The following is a 20424-nucleotide window of genomic DNA, read 5'->3' on the forward strand; positions in this document are numbered from 1 at the left end:
TGAACAACTTTTAAAAAGATCAAATATAAGCATGTCACTCCTCTCCTTAAAATCTCAGTAGCTTCCCTGTCCTTTGGGATAAATTCTAAAATCCTTATGTGTCCCCCAAGACCCTGCTGTCATCTGGTTCTTGCCTATCTTTCCAGACTCAATCCCTAGCATCCTTGTCTCCTTTCCTTACCCCAATTATTTCTGTAAAAACAATCTTCAAATGGAGGCATGCGTATCCCTGAGAATATGGACACGTGGTCATGAGGAGTTTCAAGGGATTCAGTTTTCAGATCCCAACTCTTCTAAAAGTGATCTGTCTGAGGACTCCTGCAGTCCAGGCCCACCTGGCATTTCATAATGGCTCCTCTCCCCCCTGGCACATCCTAAATCTTACTACATTGTGCTGCCCTGCTGAGGTAGAAAGGTGTAATAAACCTTAGGACACCAACAGAGATAACTTATTTAAGAGATGCATTTCTTGTAACTTTTTTTTTTTTTTGCCTACAATTCCTTATCAGATTTTGTGAAACACATTGATTAAACTGTGTATTGCTAATAATAGTAACAGTTCAATCCAGAAGAAAATTTGCTTCTTAGGACCCTAATGATACAGTCTGATCAGTAAAAAACTTTGAAGGATAGAGCATATTCAATTATGATAGAATCCTGTGGTAGAAGTGAAATAAAAATATTTTCAGGGAGAAAAATAATCAATGCAAAATTTTCAACTGGTCAAAGGCTTAAGTATTTTTGAAATGAATGATGGGGTGGATATTAAGTCACTATAATATTTATAACTCACTGCATACATTTAAAAATTTTCTGTAATCACTTTATTTTCAAAACATCATTCATAACTCATCAGAACTTCATAACTACTTAAATTTATAATTAAAAGCCTTTTTAAATTTATCATTAAAAGCCCCCCTCTCCCCACCTTTTTTTTTCTTTGAGATGGACTCTTTCTCTTTTGCCCAGGCTGGATTGCAGTGACGCGATCATGGCTCATAGCAGCTTTGAACTCCTGGGCTCAAGCAATCCTCCCAACTCAGCCTCCTGAGTAGCTGGGGCTACAGGCATGCACAATCACACCCAGCTAATTAAAAAAATATATTTGTAGAGATGGAGGCCTCACTCTACAAAGCGCTTAAGTGATCCTTCCTCCTTGGCCTCCTGAAGTGCTGGAATTACAGGTATAGGCCACCATGCCCAGCTGAGAAAAACATTTAAATATCAGTTTAAGAATGTGTGATGGGAATACACAGCATTCTTTCAAGGGGCATCTCAACAAATTTTAAAAAGAACACTGTGGCCCACTCCAGTGCTATGCATGAGAATATGGTGATTTCTCAGCTTCAGGCGTTCAAATGTGCCATTCTCCCATGGAAAGCCCACTAAGTCCCTCAAGCTTCACCTGAAATACCATTTCACTGAGAAGTCTTCCTTGTCTCCAGACTAAATTAGATTGCCTTGATATATGCTCCCAGAGAACCAAGAATGTCCCCTTTTCATCCCACAGGTAACTCCTTGTTAAATGTTGTACAAGGAAGGCATAGACAGAATTCACCTTTCACTGTTCCACTGGTGCCCAGCAGGGTATGCAAAGGAGGAAATCAGCTGTGCTCTGAAAGAAGCACCATTCCAGTAAAGGGGAGGAAAAGGTCATCAGACTGCAAGGGCTCAACAAAAGTACAAGGTAAGGAGGCAGAGGGTGTGGGCTGATTATCAACTAAGAGGTTTGCACGGAAAAAGGGAAAAAAAAAAAAACAGAAAAACAGGGCCGGGTAGTGGCAGAAAGAGAGGGTGGATCTGTGACTGTTCGCAGGAAGAGAGGAGCGGGAGCAGGACAGACAATAACTGATAGTCAGGAGCTGGGTTTGGAGATAAAGAGGGAACAAGAGAAAGTTAAGTTCTGTGTTTTCATGGCAAACATTGCACAAAAGTTTACAACTTCGTGACTAACAGTAATCTGGGGTGATTCACAACAAATTTACACATAAACACATATTTACTGACTTTATACACAGCAATCCTAACGTGAACACAGAACCTGCTTTATCTTTTCGCACACTGTTCTAGTGTAGAGATGTCTGGTCTCAGTTAAAGAAAGCATAAGGAGCATTAGTTGTGCACACTGTCCACACCTGTGACTTTTTTCCACCAGTACTAAACCTAGTGCTTCTTACAGTACAGGACAATGACAGCCACAGAAAGAGAGAAGCTCCTTTTACTGTGTAATGCTTCCTGCTGGCCTTCAAATACTTGTTACTTGAGAGATCTCCATTCACCTGGCTTTGTCCCCAAAGGTCATCATCTACCAATGATGTTGTTATTTGATGTTAATCATGTATAAAGAAAGTAGCTACCATCCTGGCCCTGATTAGAACTTCCCACTGAAATACCGTCCTGCCTAAAGGTAGCACAGGCTCCCATTATGGTGGTGGTGGGGAGGGGGCGGGAATATATATATATATATATATATATATATATATATATATATGGTAAAGCATTCGGCATTCTTTTAAAGTACAACTATCCTTGAAAAGGGTTACATATTAAACCATTTTTACCACAGCCAAAGGGGAGGAGAAAGATCCAAAAGTCCTGTGGATCTGCTTTAACATCAATAAAACAGTTATCCACCCTTCGTAGCTTTTAGTGAAGGCTACAAAAGTATGCTTTTTATGGATTACACATGTGCACGCAACTACTTTAATTACTACAGAAAAAAACGAGGCTCCTTATTAAAAAAAAATCAGAAACAAGTCCAACAGACTCTGAGGAAATGAAGCAAGAGTGAATTCTGAAAAGGTCTAATAAACAGTATGGAAATATCCTTGTGGGATTGTTCTTCAGCTATGCATAAACATGTAATTATCATCATTACTGTGATGGGGAAAAACACGGACCCTAATTCTGAAACACCCTGGTAGCGAGAGACGGGCAGGAGGGGCTGCTGCGCACTCAGAGCGGAGGCTGAGGAGGCGGCGTCCCCTTGCAAAGGACTGGCAGTGAGCAGATGGGGACACTCGAGCTGCCCCGCGACCTGGGCCGAGCTGCCTACAACCTGGGCCCAGGTGCCTGCAAGAATTAGACCTCCGATAACGTTAACACCCACTTTCTCACTGCTCTAATTGTGTGCATCCCGGCGCCCAGGGGCTTGTGAGCAGCAGGTGCGCGTTCCAGGCAGCTCCAGCGACCCTTAAACCTGACCGCGCGCACGTCCGGCCCGAGGGAGCAGAACAAGAGGCACCCGGACCCTCCTCCGGCCAGCACCCACCTTCACCCAGTTCCGTCAGTCGCCACCACCTCCCTTCCCGCGTCCGCAGCCGGCCCAGCTGGGGAGCATGCGCAGTGGCCGGAGCCGGGTTGCCCGCGCCCCAGCAGGTAGCTGTACTGCAACTGTCGGCCCAAACCAACCAATCAAGAGACGTGTTATTGCCGCCGAGGTGGAACTATGGCAACGGGCGACCAATCAGAAGGCGCGTTGTTGCCGCGGAGCCCCCTGCCCCGGCAGGGGGATGTGGCGATGGGTGAGGGTCATGGGGTGTGAGCATCCCTGAGCCATCGATCCGGGAGGGCCGCGGGTTCCCTTGCTTTGCCGCCGGGAGCGGCGCACGCAGCCCCGCACTCGCCTACCCGGCCCCGGGCGGCGGCGCGGCCCATGCGGCTGGGGGCGGAGGCTGGGAGCGGGTGGCGGGCGCGGCGGCCCGGGCCCGGGCGGTGATTGGCCGCCTGCTGGCCGCGACTGAGGCCCGGGAGGCGGGCGGGGAGCGCAGGCGGAGCTCGCTGCCGCCGAGCTGAGAAGATGCTGCTGTCCCTGGTGCTCCACACGTACTCCATGCGCTACCTGCTGCCCAGCGTCGTGCTCCTGGGCACGGCGCCCACCTACGTGTTGGCCTGGGGGGTCTGGCGGCTGCTCTCCGCCTTCCTGCCCGCCCGCTTCTACCAAGCGCTGGACGACCGGCTCTACTGCGTCTACCAGAGCATGGTGCTCTTCTTCTTCGAGAATTACACCGGGGTCCAGGTGAGCCGCCTCCCGCTCCCGGGTCTCGGCGTCCACCCGAGCTCCCGGGGGCGCGGACCTCTCCGCTCCCCCACAGCTGGCGAGGGTCACCCGGCCGGCCCGGCGGACCCAGCACGGAGAGCACGTGCCGCCTCCCCGCCTTCCTCTCCGCATGCTTCCTGCCGTTCTGCCGAGATCGCTCTCTAGGAAGCTGTGGCTGCGTCGTCCTGAGGCTACGAGTGGGACCCGCCGCCCCTTTCCCCGCCCCTCGCCTGGGTCTGATGCTGCTTAGCAAAGTGGGTGCAGATGCACGTTTTAAATAATAGGGCACGCGTTTAGCAGTTTCTGGCCTTTGGTCCAAAGAGGTGGTCATGTTGGAACAGATCGGAGACGTCTACACTCCGAAGTGCGCTTTTACAGTGACCTCTTGAAACAGAAGTACAATTCGGTCTTGTGTTCTTTCCCCTGGACAAGTGAAAGCTGGGCGAAGAAATGAATACATTTGTTAACCGTAGAAGCCTAACTAGATACATTTCTTGCCAACTTTAACTGGGCTTGAATGTGTGGGTGATCTGTTGTCTGATTACTTTCTTTCTGTTACTGTTTCTCTGTAGAGATTGGATTCGTAGATTAAACTTGAGAAACAAACCATAAAAGTGGAAGGCCCTCTTTAACAGTAGGTATTTGAAGTGTTATAAAAAAAAAAAAAAGGTGAATTTTTCTTTTATTTCTCAGTTTGAAAGAACAGCTTTATTCTTGGTTATTCCTAATGTCCACCTAGTCCTCTTTTACTTTTCTTGGTAGGGTTAGGGTGGCATGGGGAAATGGGACGGTATCATTTTGTCTTTTTAACTTTTTTTTTTTCCACCTACAGCAGCTGTTTTTACCCTGTGGTCAGTCAGGTACTATATTTAGTTTGCAGTTGCACTGCTGATCGACCCTTGATGGCCCCAGTTGGAAGTTGTTTGGGGGGAAGGAACTAGGAGAGGCCAGGGCCTCCATTTAAACCAGTGTCTGTAAGTGTCTCCTTGGAAAGAAAAAAAGATACTGTTCCAGGTCATGGTTTCCTGGTAGTTGACGTTTAAAATGGGCCTCATTTAAAAATTTCAATAATTCAGGCTAATTTTTTCCCTTTATATGGTAACTCCACCAAGTTTGTCTAAATGTATGATTTTTATCATGATTAAGTTTTTACTTCCACATCATGTGACAACTGGCCTGGGATGGGATATAAGCTCAGAACACAAAGTCATTCACCTCTTAAAAAAATAATTCTATCTGTGGCGGGTTATGTTATTTTTGTTCAAAGAGGACACAATATGATGCAGAATACACCATTGAAGGATTTTTTGGTTTGGCAAGTTCTTATTTTTTTAAATGGCTGTAAAACCTAGCAGTGTTTCTGAAATTGCATACCTTACCTGATGTTCAGAGATCCGATTTACTTCTTGATTTCCCAGCAAGTGATTTTGAAAACATTTAATCTAATCATTCCCCCCACCGTCTGTTCAAATCAAAGGAAGTGGCATCCAGCACTAATTTTCATGCATTTATGAAAGGATGCCTGAGGACCCTTAAGTATAATTCAAAATTTTGTTTAATGTGTGTTCCTTGATGAAGTTCTTTAGGAGTCGTAGAACGAACTGATTGCCCACTGATCATCAAATGCAAGTTATGAACATTTAATAAAAATTTAAAACCAAGAGTTTCTTGTTCCTGCATTTTTATTTTTATTGTATGGAGGGGACAAATAATTATTTTCTGTTTAGTAACAGAGCAGGGTATTTTGAATTTATTAGGGTCTTTTTCTGCAATCTGGGTTTCCTGTGTACACAAAGCTACCTTTCAATATTTTTTATTGTTTCTGTTAAGATTAAATCAATAGAGGAATAAATAGCTATCTTCAAACATAAGACCCAAAGGAAAAAGATTTATAGTGATGTTCTGTCACCTTATTTTTTACCTGTGACTTTGTACCATTAACTTTGTCACTGAGATGTTTTGATTAAAATTTTTAGCTTGCTTTTCTTGTTTTGTTAGGACACTCTTTTTTTCTTGAATTGTTTTTATCAGCTTTCGTTTGCAAGGCTAGTGATGATTCTCTTGTTCTGTATAAAGTATTGTTGACTCATTTCTGAAGGGAGTTTTAGTAATTTAAGAGGTTATAAGTTTTTAAATAAAAGGTTTATTAATTTATATATATTAAAGAGGCATTTTAAAATAAAATTTTTTTTAAATGACATTTTTACACCTTTCAACTCTAGGTTTAAAAAATAAGTGGTTCACAGTAGTTCTTGCAGAAGAATATTTTCTTTTACATAGAATTTTTAAGCTGAAGAGAAGTAGTAGTAGGTCCATGAGATTTATGATCTGTGCTTGGCAGGTAAACCTGCTTCCAACAAATTTAGTTGGATTTTTCTTGGATTCTGGGTAAATACCTTTTTCTTCCCCAATTTCACTACTTTATTTTCATATGTATCTCTGAGATAGAGAAATATTTCAGTCAGTGCTGCTAAAATTGTTCCTTATAACTCGTTTATCCTTTTAGGTCCTTCCAGAATCTCTCATTGGTACTGAAACTCAAATGGGTACTTTCTTCACCATTTATTTCTTTAGAATAAGTAATAAGAATTTTATAAGCTTTTTTATATTTCACGTAATTTGAGACTATTGAAAATCCAGTTAAGTCTCTCTACTGTGTTGAGAGGCATTGATTCAAGTACCTGTGTTACTTTCCTGTGCTGCCAAAACAGATCACCTCAAACTAAGCGGCTTAAAATAATAGAACTTAAGTTCTCGTGATTCTGGAGGCCAGCACTTTGAAATCAAGGTGTAGGCTCAATTTTACTCCCTCTGGAGGCCCTAGGGGGAATCCGTTCTTGTGGGTTTCAACTTCTGGTGACTGGTGGCATTCCTTGGCTTGGGGCCCCATCACTTTAACCTCTGCCTTACAGTCCTTGCTGCCACCTCTTCTGTCTCACATCTCACTCTCCCTTTCTCTTAGAAGGATGCTTGTCATTGGGTTTAGAGCCCACCTGGATATTCCGGGATGATCTCTTCATCTCAAGATCCTTAATTATAACTGCAAAGAGCCTTTTTCCAAATAAGAAAACATTCACAGGTTCCAGGGCTTAGGATGTGGACACATTTTTTGAGGGGCTGCCCTTCATTCCCCCACAACAATGAACTCCATAGTTCTGCCTATTCAGTATTTTGTAGTTATTTCGTAGTTTAACTTGCCTTATTTCTTTAGGTATTTACGTATTAAAGCATTTTGGTCTCTGCTTTCTTTAACAGAGAACCTGGTTTTCTGTAATAAGTTTACTTACTTTCCCATAATCTTTTAGTTTCTTATTTACAGATTTACCTTCACATATCCCTTAAGTAGAACATTTGATTAACTGTTTTATTTTCGGAACAAATCTGCATTCTGTATAATAACCAACTTATTCATATTTCGGTATTCTTTTAATTCTTATCTGATTCTGAAATTACCATCTTGTGATTATATATATATATATATGGAAATAACTGAAATCCTGATAAATTAAAGGTGATATAACTTCTAAGACAATTAATTATGTATGATGTGGTGAATATACTGGTGTTTGGTTTGTTTGCCACTTAAAAGCCCTATCTATAGGATAGGAAGTAACTTGAATGTGGAATGCTTAGAGACTCAGAGTAAGAGGCCGTATATATATCCTTGAGCTGGAGTTTAAGGAAAACTTATGGGAAATTAAAAGGAAAGTTGGAGTACTGACAGAGGATTGGGTAGGACTCATGAAAAAGGAATGAAGTTACCTTAAATTCTATCATCGTGAGTTAACGTGAAACTAGATTTATGTTAGTTTATAGCCTAGAATTCTATCCTAGGAATCTAGATATATCCTAAATGTTGAGATAGCTGCATAAACAATAACTGTAATCGTTATGATAAATAATGACAAATCTTTTTAGCATGTTCTGTGAAGCTGATAAATGTTAATAGGATGTCTTCAAATGTCAGAATTCTTTTTTCTTTGCTTCTTTTTTAAAAAATTTCTTTTCCCCCATTCCTATGCAATACACTGAAAACTGATCATTGAAATTTGTAGGCCAAAAAATTAATCAACACGTAATAGATTGGGGTTTGGGTTTTTTTGAGTCAGGGTCTTCTTCTGTCACCCAGGCTCTGGTGCGGTGGCACCATCATTGCTCATTGCAGCCTTGAATGCCTGGGTTCAAGTGATCCTCCGGAGTAGCTGCCGTGCCATTATTTCTAGCTAATTTTTAAAAGTTTTTGTAGAAATGGGGTCTTTCTGTGTTGCCCAGGCTGGTCTTGAATTCCTGGCCTCAGGTGATCCTTCTGCCTTGGCCTCCCAAAGTGCTGGGATTACAGGTGTGAGCCACCATGCCTAGCCCCTAATAAATATTCTAATTACCGATTTATCTTGCTTAAATCAGTTGGTAACACTTGGAATTTACTTCAGAATATATTTTACATTAGTGGCTCTGACTGCTAATTCCCCCTTCTCCAAATGCTAATGTAATATAACAATAAAATGCACAGTTCTTAAGTTTATATAAAATAAACAGGTTTTCAGTTGACCTGCTTTAAGTGTAAAATAGTGTGAAAAACACAAGAAAGAAGATAAAGAATTTAAGATTTTGACATTTCTCTAATATGCCCTTAACTTCTCCAAGGATTCATACTTTTTTTTGTAAGACAGAATCTCACACTGTTGCCCAAACCAGAGGTGCAGTGGTGCAGTCTCCACTCACTGCAACCTCTGCCCCCGGGCTCAAGCGGTCCTCCCACCTCAGCCTCCTGAGTAGCTGGGACTACAGGTACACAGCACCATGCCCAGCTAATTTTTTTTTTGGTATTTTTTAGTGGGGGTAGAGACGAGATTTTGCCATATTGCCCAGTCTGGTTTTGAGCTCCTGGGCTCAAGTGATCCGTCCTTGATCCACCATGCTTAGCTGATTCATACTCTTAACTGAAACATTGTTCCAAGTTTCTCAGAAACAGTCAAGGCTTTTTATCTAGAGAACATTTATAACTGGATCTTTCTTTGTGTAGCACTGATTCATCAAACTAATCCTAAACTCCTAATGAGTTAAATTTATATTCTGAATCTTGCTGTAAAAGCAGCCATTCATTAGAATGAAACATGTTTACTTAGAATTGGAGAAGGGAGCTTATAAGTCATCTAGTCTACTCCCTTTTATGACACTTCTACATTCTTTCTGCACTTCTGCCAAAATGTTGCCCAGCGTCGTCTCTGATACCTATAGTCCTAACAAGAATATGAATCATACCTTGTATCCTTAATTTTACTCTTCTCTGCTTATTTGCCATTCATGTGAAGACCTTAAATAGATCTTAAATTGCTTCCTTCACTTTAGCTGAGAGTGACAGGACTGTGTAGGTGTGGGTGTGTTTCTGCATTTGCTTATTTAAGCAGGATAATAAAAACTTTTACTATAGGAAATTAAACATTTCCCAATCAAATACAATTCCAGTCTAACACAATTAAATTCTGGTTAGGGAACTGCTTAACTTACTAGACTTATAGGAAAATACTAAAAAAATGTAACTAGAACTCTATTTTTACACTTTATAAATATAAACCTCTGTGAACAAACCAGTTATTTCAGGTTGCATTTGTGTATAGTTTTTTAATGCCTGATTTTTCTATTTTAAAATCACAGATGCAATTATACATTCAAACACTGCCACAATACTTTGAGAAAGTTAAAGTTTCCCCTACTCCTACACTGCGTACACCTTTCCTAGGTACATCCCAGTTTGGTGTGTAACTTTAGATTTCTTCCAAGAGCTTTTGAGTAAGTGTTTGAATTGTGGGAAGGTTCTTTAGTTAAATGAACTTCTTACAGATCAGTTTTTTAGTACAGTAGCACGAAATATACCTGCATACCTATGGGGATACCTCTGTGCCATTACGATGGAAGGCACGGGAAAACAGCACTCCGTATATACCTAGTTTACTTTCCCTCTTTTGTATATTTGTCTGATTTTGTGGAGCTGATGCTTCTCAAGTGGAATCAGAAGTTAACTTTTCCTTTACTATTTTCTCATTTTATTATGGTTTCTTAACTAGAGGTTGATGTTAGTGGTTGGACCATTCAATAGTAAGTAATGACTTTTCAGTAAGGGATCTCTAGAACCCAGATCCCTTAATTCCTGCAATATTCCCGTGTGTACATTGTTCCAGGTGCTGTCCTGGGTACCAAGGGGTACAATGTTTGATAGACAATGTACCTGCCATTATGGAGGTCACATTCTAGTGTGGGAAGACAAACAATAACAAGAAAATGAAAATTTACTGTGCCATGCCAGGTTGTTTAGCCTGGTGGGTGAGAGGTAGGGGTTTGGAAAATCTTACTGAGCAAGTGACATTTGTGTGGAGCTCTGTAAAAGGGCCAGCTTGGAAGGTAATGTAGTCATCCAGGTGAGAAATGATGGTTAGGGGAGTGGAAAGAGTGGATGTTAAGATTGAAAAGAATTCCAAATCTATTTTAGTGGTAGCTGATAGGGCTTTGTGATTGAATGTGGAGGAAAAAGAAGAGGGTGGGTTAGTAACACACTCAGTCGCAGTTAGTGAGTGCTGCTGTGTGCAAGTATTGTTCTATTATGTAAATAATTCCATCTTTACAAAGTAGGCACCATTCTTCCTCTTTTACAGACAAGGAAAAGGGAACACCCATGGTTCACATCTGTAGTAGCCTAGCCAGGAGTTTCAGGCACTTATTTTCTGAAGATGCTCTGCCTGGCAATGTGGTTATATTGGTTGAAATGAGACCCCCTACTTTCAAGGTATTCATCTAGGAAAGACATGAACTGCCAATTACAATATAGGATAACACTGAAATTAGAGACGTGTTTATTAACTTTGCCATACAGAGGTAAAGTAACTCTTTAAAGTAACTCTTTGCTTGGGTTAGTGGAGAAGGCTATAAAAATTACTTGGAGTTTTTACTTTGAACATGCGTAATTAACATGGAATGTTTAGGGAAAAGAGGTTTTCAATTGATAACATAATAAACATGAGGAGTTTGAAGCATGGCATTCAAGGTTTTCTAAATTCTGCCCCGGTTAACTTTTCCATTCGTTGGTTTCATTCTAGTCTAGCTTTTCCTTCTGGGCCGCCCCTCCCCACATTAGACCGCTCCTCTCTGGAATTCCAACTCAAGCCCTTGCTTTTCTCCATCTGTCATGATGTTACCCCATCTCATTGTCAGGGTAACTTTTATGTAATATTAACATATATAATACTGATATAACATTAGCATATTTTAATGTATGGATCATCTCCTCTGCAACATTGTAACCTCTTGGAGATGGCAATAATGGGAAGAATGACTTGATTTTACTTTTTCTTTTAACAAAAATGGTGGAGTAGTCTGGGCACGGTGTGGCTCATGCCTGTAATCCCAGCATTTTGGGAGGCCAAGGAGGGTGGATCACTTGAGGTCAGGCATTCGAGACCAGTCTGGCCAACATTGTGAAACCCCATCTCTACCAAAAAAATACAAACACTTACTGGGCATGGTGGTGTGTGCCTGTAGTCCTAGCTACTCAGGAGGCTGAGGTGGGAGAATCACTTGAACATGGGAGGTAGAGGCTCCAGCTTGGGCGACAGAGTGAGACCCTGTCTCAAAAGAAAAAAAAGGTAAAAGGGCCAGGTGCGGAGGCTCACGCTGGTAATCCAAGCACTTTGGGAGGCTGAGGCAATGGATCACCTGAGGTCGGGAGTTCGAGATCAGCCTGACCAACATGGAGAAACCCCTTCTCTACTAAAAATACAAAATTAGCCGGGCGTGGTGGTGCCTGCCTGTAATCTCAGCTACATGGGAGGCTGAGGCAGGAGAATCACTTGAGCCCAGGAGACAGAGGTTGTGGTAAGCCAAGATGGCACCATTGCACTCCAGACTGGGCAACAAGAGCGAAATTCCGTCTCAAAACAAACAAACAAACAAAACAAAACAGAGAGAAAAGGCAGAGTACTCTAGGGAATTCTAGTCTGTGTTTCTGTGGAAATGTATATGAATCTCACTTTTAAGGGATGGAGATTTTTGAATGGCATAACTAGTTGATAAGTTTTGCTCTAACAGGGTACCCAAGTCTAGTGAGTCCGATTCATTCTTTCCTTAAATAGATGAAGGAGGAAGAAACATGACTCCACCCTCAAGAGTAAGGCAGAATGAGCAAAGTCAGAGAAGTTAAAAAAGAATTCTCACGCAGCCAGCAGTGCAGAGAAACCTTGGTTTAGTTGTGAATCAAAACCAGTACTTTTTGTAATTTTTGAGCCTATGCAATTCTCCAAGGTTTTATGTTGTTTCTTCTGTTTCTCTGTAGGCACCAGAAATCAAAACCCCAAATAAGAAAGTGTTACTTGAAGATTTTAGAGTACTTATTTGTGTATAAGTGTAAGTAATATTTGGAAGACGACTTTACTGCGCTCCTCCAGCTTGGCATGAGAATTCCAGGGGCGGAAAGAAAGGAGGGTGATGGTACCTGGAAAGGAGAGTCATGTTAAGTCCCAGCCACATATTAAGTGCTAACCACCTACTGTTAAAAGGTGTAATGTTCTAGACTGACAAAATACATAGTCTCTACCGTAAAGTAACACATAATTTAGCAGTGCAGAAAGATGTCACTTAAAAGAAAACTTGAATATATGCTGAGATAGTTCACAAATTAAAGAAATGAACAAAGAACTGAGGAAATAAAGGAGGAATACAACTGTGTCCAAATGAATACTTAACTGGGTGGGAGCTGTTGCATATGTAAGCAGGTGGTTCACCTAAAAGTTGGATGTAACGTAGTTAACGCCAGCTCTTGGTGCACTTACATATTGCATTGCTTCCGGGCTTAATTTGTGTTCATATAGGAATAAATTTTTTGTTGGTTTTTAATTTTACTCCTTGTAATTCCGTAGTTGATATTCAAAGTGAAAAAAATTACATAAGCTTCTAATATATGAGAAGTCTTCTCACTTGACATTTTTTATTTGGAATTTTTGCAGAGAGTAGTTTTGTCACAGTCAAAAGATTTTGGGATCTTGCAGTGAGAAACCTAGGTGTAATTCCTATTTCTCTGCCATTCCGTATGTCATCTGGATTAAGTGTCAACTTCTCAGTCTCAAGATTCTCGTCCTTAAATGGAATACTTTTTGTCATGCTATTTTGAAGACAAAATGAGATAATACGTGAAACTGCCTAGCTCAGTGAATGGTACATCATAGATACTCAGAAAAAACACACCCTCTAAAATAAGAACAGTACCAAAAGACAGGATGTAAAATAAGGGCAGTACCAAAAGACACATGCATGCTGAGTGTATGAGAAAGAACTTTGTGGCCTTCTTGGGTGGCACAGGCCATGGCAGTTCCACAGCATGACGTGGTTGCTGTGGGTGGTAGAGCAGACATGCCGCTCCCCGTCACTGCCTGGCTTTGATGCTTGCTTTCTTCAGCTGAGAGGACGCAGCTGTGATATGAAGGTCTTGTGTGTACAGTCGTGACCTCACATTTCCAATTTCCTGCTGGCAGAACCCACAGTCTACAACGTACGAGCACCAGAGTTGACGTGAGACAGACAGCATACAGAGGCTTGTAACATCCTTCTGGAAAACACTGTGTAAGCTTTCAGTGCGAATAAACATGATCAGTGGCAAGTTCTGTTAGATGTAGTCTGCAAGCATCCTGATTTTACTGGGCAAGACTATGTTGATTTACAGGCGGCTGATGATTCCATGGATAGCCCACTACTAGTATTTTTACAAATTTCACAAGACATTCTTACTGGAAGATTGCCCTGTTCTTATGATACTGCTGCCCTTTTAGCTTCATTTGCTGTTCAGACTAAACTTGGAGAGTACAGTCAGTCAGAGAACTTGCTAGGCCACCTCTCAGGTTATTCTTTCATTCCTGATCATCCTCAAAATTTTGAAAAAGAAATTGTAAAAATTACATCAGCAACATATAGGCTTATGTCCTTGAGAAGCAGCAGTTAATTACCTAAACACAGCAAGTACCTTAGAACTCTGTGGAGTTGAATTGCACTATGCAAGGGATCAAGTAACAATAAAATTATGATTGGAATGATGTCAAGAGGAATTCTGATTTATAACAGGCTATGAATGAGTACCTTTCCATGGTCGAAGATTGTAAAAATTTGTTTTAAGTGCAAACAGTTTTTTATTCAGCTTTGAAAATGACTTGCATAAATCTGGAGAAAGATTATCAGGATTTAATATGGTGAATTATATGGCATGTAAACATTTGTGGAAAGCAAGTTTAGAACATCACATATTCTTCTGTTTGGACAGACCACTTCCAACTAGAAAGAATTTTTTTGCACATTATTTTACATTAGGTTCAAAATTCCTAATGCATGGTGGGAGAACTGAAGTTCAGTTAGTTCAGTATGGCAAAGAAAAGGCAAATAAAGACAGACTACTTGCAGGATCCTCAAGTAAGCCATTGACGTGGAAATTAATAGTTTGGGAAGTAGTAGGCAGGAATTCAATATCTGATGAAAAGATTAGAAACATAAAGCCTTCCATCACAATTCCCACCCGGAACAGGAATTCCTACTCATCAAAATTCTGCATTCATACAAGAGGGAACCTGATTATGACCATCTTCTGTTGGTCATTTGGTAGATTATGTGGTTCACACTTCTTCCAAATATTTGCAAATCAGACATCACCATTATCAGCACAAGCTAATAGCATCATTCGGGAATCATCACTATTACAGGACACCCCTGGAGATGGGTAGCCTCCAGCTTTACCACCCAAACAAGCTAAGAAAAACTGTTGGAACCAAATTCATTATTTACATTTTCAACAAGATCTGGAAGATCATATTAATGAAACGTTGATGTTCTATCTTCTCTTAAAAAATCTGCTCCTAATGGTGGTATTCTACATGATAATCATGTTCTAATCCGAGTGAACCTGACGAAAATGGAAGGTTTGGAGTCAATGCAAAGGGGGATATGATCAGAAGATGTCTGTGATCGTGTCCTGAGAAGCACCAGGAACACCTTTGACCTCAGTGACTCTCGATTGAAGAGAAGACCAAGTTGTATTGATCAGTGGTTGGGACTTTACAGAACACACCCATGATTGGATTGTCCTGCTTTTTAAAGCCAACTGTGAGAGACATTCTGGGGAACTCATGCTTCTAGTTCTACCTATGCTGCATATGATGTAGTGGAAGAAGTGCTAGAAAATGAGACAGACTTCCAGTACATTCTGGAGAAAGCCCCACTAGATAGTGTCCACCAGGATGACCATGTGCTGTGGGAGTCAGTGATCCAGCTAACCGAGGGCTTATCGCTGGAACATTCTGGACACAATTTGATCAACTTATCAAAAAAAAAACTTGGAATGACAATTTCTGGTGCCAGATTACCTTAGAACCTTTGCAAAAATAGATAGAGATAGTTTTCCTTATGATGTTACATGGGTTATTTTTAAAGGTAATGAAAACTACATCAGTGTAATTCCAGCATCATAAGTCAGAACAGTGCTTGTCAAGGGGCGTTACCACACACTTGAACAGATTTTTGGCAGATGACTTGGGAACAAGGCTCCTCCATGTTTGTAATGTTGACCACACAAGTTGAATGTGGCAGAGTTAAATGACCCCAATATTGGCCAGAACCCACAGGAAGTTCATCCTATGGATGCTACCAAGCCTTCTGCCACTGAGAAGAAGGAAGCACTGTCTTTATCTTCAGGAAGATCACACTGCTGTTTAACCAAGAGAAAAATTAGAGAGTCATCAATCACGCAGATCCAGTACAGAGGGTGGCCTGACCATGGAGACCCTGATGATTCAGTGACTTTCTGGATTTTGTTTTTCATATGCAAAATAAGAGGGCTAGCAAGGAAAAACCCCTTGTTGTTTCTTGCAGTGCTGGAGTTGGAAGAACCAGCGTTCTTAATACTATGGAAACAGCCATGTGTCTCATTGATCTCATTGAATGCAGTCAGCCAGTTTATTCACTAGACATGGTAAGAACAATGAGAGAGCAGTGAGCCGTGATGGTCCAAACACCTAGTCATTACAGTTTTGCGTGTGAAGTACTATTTTGAAAGCTTATGAAGAAGGCTTTGCTGAAGAAAGCAAAAGGAAAAAAAGAACTTTGTCATCTGTTAGGTTCCATTTATTGCATGATAATTGTGTTTGTATTGATTATTGGGCAAGTAGCTGTTTGCTATTTTGATCTTATTTCAGAAGGGCATAATAATTTTACTATTCAATGAAACGTTTTAAACGGGGTAGAAAAAGACTAGTTTTTGTATGCTTTACAGCAGAAATCTTATAATGATTAACTGGTAATATATTTCGTTGGCATAAAAATACATTTAAAAGTTCAAGTAATTATAAACATTGTAAATTGTATATGTAATCATATTGAAATTGAAATTCTTTATAGCTGTACTTCTGTGTAATCAAAGACTGGGGAGAGATAGACTAGCTAGCTCTTTCTCTTATCCATTAATCACTTAACAGAGTTTTGAATAAAAAGTTCCATTTCATGGGATAAGAATAATGACAGGTTAACCTATTTTAGTTGGTTACTATGTTCTAGGTGTTGTATGAAGTAGTTTACATAGTTTCACTGATTTCACTACAATCCCAGGAGGAGTAGTTACTATTATTACACTCATTTTACAGGCAAAGAAATAGGTTTGGAGGGGTTGGGTGTTTTGCCCAAGTTCTCATCGTAAAATGACAGATGAGGATTCAAATTCAAGTCTTAATTGAAGTCCATTACTTTAGAACCTACCTCTTAGTGGCTCTTATGTTACAGTATAAGGGAGAGCAGACTGTTCCTTTACCCTTGTAGGGTAGCTAGGGCTTGTGAATTAAGAGACTGATTAACAGGAGAAGAGGCATACACATTTTTTTGACGTTAGTATTTTTACATGCACAGGGAAGGAGGGTTTTATTTTTATTTTTATTTTTATCTTTATTTTAAAGAGACAGGGGTCTTGCTGTGTTGCCAGGGCTGGACTCAAACTCCTGAAGCCAAGCGATTCTTCTGCTTGAGATTCCTGAGTAGCAGGGACTATAGGTGTGCTCCTCTGTGCTTGGCTAAAGAAGGGGTTTGTATGTGATTTTTAACAAAGGCTGATAAATTGTGAAAAAGTGACTAGTCAAAGGAGAAGAGGATTTCAGCTCCCAGGGGTGGTAAATTGTGGGAAGATGACTAGGAAATGTATAGTAATAAGGTTTGCTATGCAGGTTTATTTTGCCAGTTTCTGGTCTCCTAATAAGGGACAGGGAAACACCTTTACAGATGGAAATTCATATCACCTTTCCACAGGGAAATTTATGTCCTGCCTTAGGCAGTTAGGGGAAGGGCAGAGAATTCTTCCTGTATCTGCTGTGTCTCAGGTGCCTTCAGCTCAAAATAATCCTTATGCCAAAGTAGCATATTTGGGTGTGGCATATTCTCTGATCTCTTTCAACAGCATCATCTATACTTAACAACAGCAAAAGTTTTTTTTAAAAAATCATGTTTCAAGATTTGCATGTGGAAGACAAATGGACATGATTGAGATAAATGAAGAATATATATTTTTTAACAAAGAATGCTGTATATTTATGTCTCTGTGACATTGTGTTATGGAGGCTAAGGTGTTAAGCATGTGATTACTTTAGATGCCGTATGACTACCTGTTTTTAAGATTAAAAAAGAATCAATAGGCAGTTTATATGTCATGGGAGCAAGTTAAAAACAACACAGATGTGATGAAGGCGAGGTGAAACTGGTCCGCATCTAATTCAGGCCTTCTCCTGAAAGCCAGTGTGTGCAAGATAAATAAGTTTTTTTGACGAAAGCAGAATAACTAGTTTGTCCTTTGTGATGAAGATAGTTATTCAGAAATCATTTTTATTGGCTACCTCTGAATTAATAAATGAAAAGAGAAATTTTTTTTTCTGTAGGGGATGTCTGATGAGTTCTTAAAAAGTGGATGAACCTGAAATTATCATGAACAAGCAATCATAATGAACTTAAAATTACTTAAAGAGTTATGAAAAACAAAAAGAAAAGCCGTATGTTTTCTTGTGCCTTATTTTGAAGTGACAAATTATTTGCAGGGTACATTTGTAGACGGAACTAATGTGATTTAAAAAATGAGTACTAGATTTACAGAATGAAGCCTTTAAAAAGTCACTGGTGCACTTTAATTATTTTATTTATGTTTATTCTGAAACTACCTTTATTTTGAAAATGAGGTATAGCTTTGCCTACTGGTGACAAAAGTGTAAATAATTCAGTAAACATCTGTTAAAAACCAGCTTGGTGCTAGGCTCTTGGGGTAGAAAACTGATCAGGCCATTGAGGAGCTCATAGTCCCTAAGGGGCTGGGGACTTGTCATTAGGTGTGCAGTGTGTTCTGGATGCTCCTGAAGGAGTGTGGGCAGGTGCGCACCACCATGCCTGGCTAATCTTTTTATAATTATGTAGAGACAGGGTCTGGCTGTGCTGCCCATGCTGGGTTTGAACTTCTGGGCTTAAGAGATCTTCCCTCCCTGCCCCTACCGACCCCGCCCGCCCACTCCACCTCAGCCTCCCCAAAGCACTGGGATTGCAGGCATGGGCCACTATGCCTGGGCTGTGCAAAACTTTTAAATCAGTGCATACTCAATGGTCTTGATGCAATTCTGGCTTGTTGGTAAGAGAATGGGGATTTACTCACAAGCCACGATGTCACTTTTAACTCTGAACAGATCAAGCTATTGGTATTACTCATTTATGTCATCGATAAACTTTATGAATAAAAACTCATTGTGCAAATGTTTAAACATACTACATACATAGCACTGTGCAGTTTCTAAGGAAAGTAATGGAAACCTTTGTCACATCCCTGGCTTCCAGAACTTTATGTTATCTAAGTGCATTTGTCTGCAAAGTTGTTGGGTTAATTGCCCCTTTCTTTCTTCTCTTTTTAAGATATTAATAAATAGTGTCATGACCAAAAGATAATCCTTATGGACAAGATAGATCTAAAAAGCCTTAGCTAATTTATAATCTTGCATAATCCATGATGACAAGATGCAGAAACAAAAATGCCCAGAATAAAAACTTAGCACCATTAGCAGCCATTTCCTTTTAAGTCTTTACAAGTATACTCCCAGTTTCTTGAAAAATTTATTCTAAAATATGTAAGACACACAAAACAGCAGAAGGACTAATACAGGTACATCGAACACCTGTGTGCCTACCGCCCAGTTTAAAAATAAACTGGAATGATGTTTCTCTCATACTTACAGAATAAAGTTTTAATCTTTAGCATGGAATTCAAAAGACTTCTGCCATTCCAGTTCAGAGCCACCCTTCTGGTCTCCTTGCTCCTCAGCCGCGACACTGCCCATGTTCCCAACAGGCCTCCAGGGTTACTGCTTCCATTCGTTCTTATTCTCATGAACATTTTCCTTCATCTCATCTGCCAGAATCCTACCTAATAATACTCCTGCTCTGCAGTTTACAGTTCTTTAAAATTAAAAAAGGTTGTGTACCCTTTAGTGTCCTGAAAAAAGAAAAAACAAATTTAAAACCTTAAAAAGGTACCATATTTTCATAGTATTTGCGTTATGTCTCATTACAGTTCCTGTGGACATGTCTGTCTCTTTTACTAGATTGATTGTGGGCTCTTTGAAGGAAGATATATCTTATGAACAGTGTTTTATATATTGTTAGCAATCAATGAATGCTTGCTATATTTTTCTCATGAGGATATTGATTATTCTATTTTAATTTATTACCGTTAACCTGTACTATACATAACTGCTTTCTGTACCTGCGCTATTTATGATCTCTGAGGCTCCTGTGAGAAATCTAATTTTTGTTAATCATGGATGGAAATATTCACAACATCATTCGTCAGTTTCTTCACATTGTCTTCCTTTGTATATTACAGATGTTTTAAAATATCAAAGTAATGTTTTTTTGTTTTATCTTTTAGATATTGCTATATGGAGATTTGCCAAAAAATAAAGAAAATATAATATATTTAGCAAATCATCAAAGCACAGGTTTGTATTTCATTTGCATGAAACATAGGTTTTTCTACAGATGGCACATGGGCATTCAAAATACCGTTCTTATATTTAAATGAAGTGGGTTTTTTAAAACAGCAATTTTCTGTGCAGATATTACACCTGTTCTTGTATTTTTGTGATTTTACTTTTTGGAAAGTCAGAAACTTGAAAGCTATGAATTTTCCTAAACTTACCTTCTCCCTCTGTTGGATGTAAGTAAGCTATCTTCTTACTTGCTTGCTTTGTTTTTCCTTTGTGTAGCTCTTTAAAGAGTGTATTCATTCTTTTTGTAAGTGATGTTTCTAGAAGTAGCATTGGTGGGTCGAAGTGTGTATACATTTTACATTT

At 40.1% G+C, this 20424-nt stretch overlaps 1 protein-coding gene, 1 long non-coding RNA gene and 1 pseudogene across 5 annotated transcripts in view, besides 3 other annotated features; 2 read left to right on the forward strand and 1 right to left on the reverse strand.

Annotated features, from left to right (window-relative positions):
- MCPH1-AS1 (MCPH1 antisense RNA 1) overlaps positions 1 to 3340 on the reverse strand; it is a 92607-nt gene extending 89267 nt beyond the window's left edge. The window contains exon 1 of the long non-coding RNA NR_125386.1: positions 3272 to 3340. This is a non-coding gene — a long non-coding RNA (MCPH1 antisense RNA 1). The remainder of the gene's footprint in view (positions 1 to 3271) is intronic.
- Positions 3527 to 3866: a silencer, noted in NCBI's record as "silent region_18883". NCBI's record gives its function as "represses an Ori minimal core promoter by ATAC-STARR-seq in GM12878 lymphoblastoid cells {active_cell/tissue: GM12878}" and the evidence as "EXISTENCE:reporter gene assay evidence [ECO:0000049][PMID:35858748]".
- AGPAT5 (1-acylglycerol-3-phosphate O-acyltransferase 5) overlaps positions 3773 to 20424 on the forward strand; it is a 52862-nt gene continuing 36210 nt past the window's right edge. For 2 of the 4 annotated variants that reach the window (NM_018361.5, XM_047421940.1), the window contains exons 1-2: positions 3773 to 4018; positions 20001 to 20070. In NM_018361.5, the coding sequence (NP_060831.2) occupies positions 3800 to 4018; positions 20001 to 20070 (289 nt within the window). In that variant the 5' untranslated portion in view covers positions 3773 to 3799. Of the gene's footprint in view, positions 4019 to 4611; positions 4674 to 20000; positions 20071 to 20424 lie in introns of all 4 variants that reach the window. The other 2 variants (XM_047421939.1, XM_047421938.1) reach the window with 2 other exon arrangements.
- Positions 3927 to 4166: a silencer, noted in NCBI's record as "silent region_18884". NCBI's record gives its function as "represses an Ori minimal core promoter by ATAC-STARR-seq in GM12878 lymphoblastoid cells {active_cell/tissue: GM12878}" and the evidence as "EXISTENCE:reporter gene assay evidence [ECO:0000049][PMID:35858748]".
- Positions 13458 to 16141, forward strand: LOC100422495 (protein tyrosine phosphatase non-receptor type 4 pseudogene; annotated as a pseudogene).
- Positions 15948 to 16217: a silencer, noted in NCBI's record as "silent region_18885". NCBI's record gives its function as "represses an Ori minimal core promoter by ATAC-STARR-seq in GM12878 lymphoblastoid cells {active_cell/tissue: GM12878}" and the evidence as "EXISTENCE:reporter gene assay evidence [ECO:0000049][PMID:35858748]".

This window comes from Homo sapiens, chromosome 8, assembly GCF_000001405.40.
Source record: "Homo sapiens chromosome 8, GRCh38.p14 Primary Assembly".
In the NCBI taxonomy this organism is placed as follows: Eukaryota; Metazoa; Chordata; class Mammalia; order Primates; family Hominidae; genus Homo; species Homo sapiens.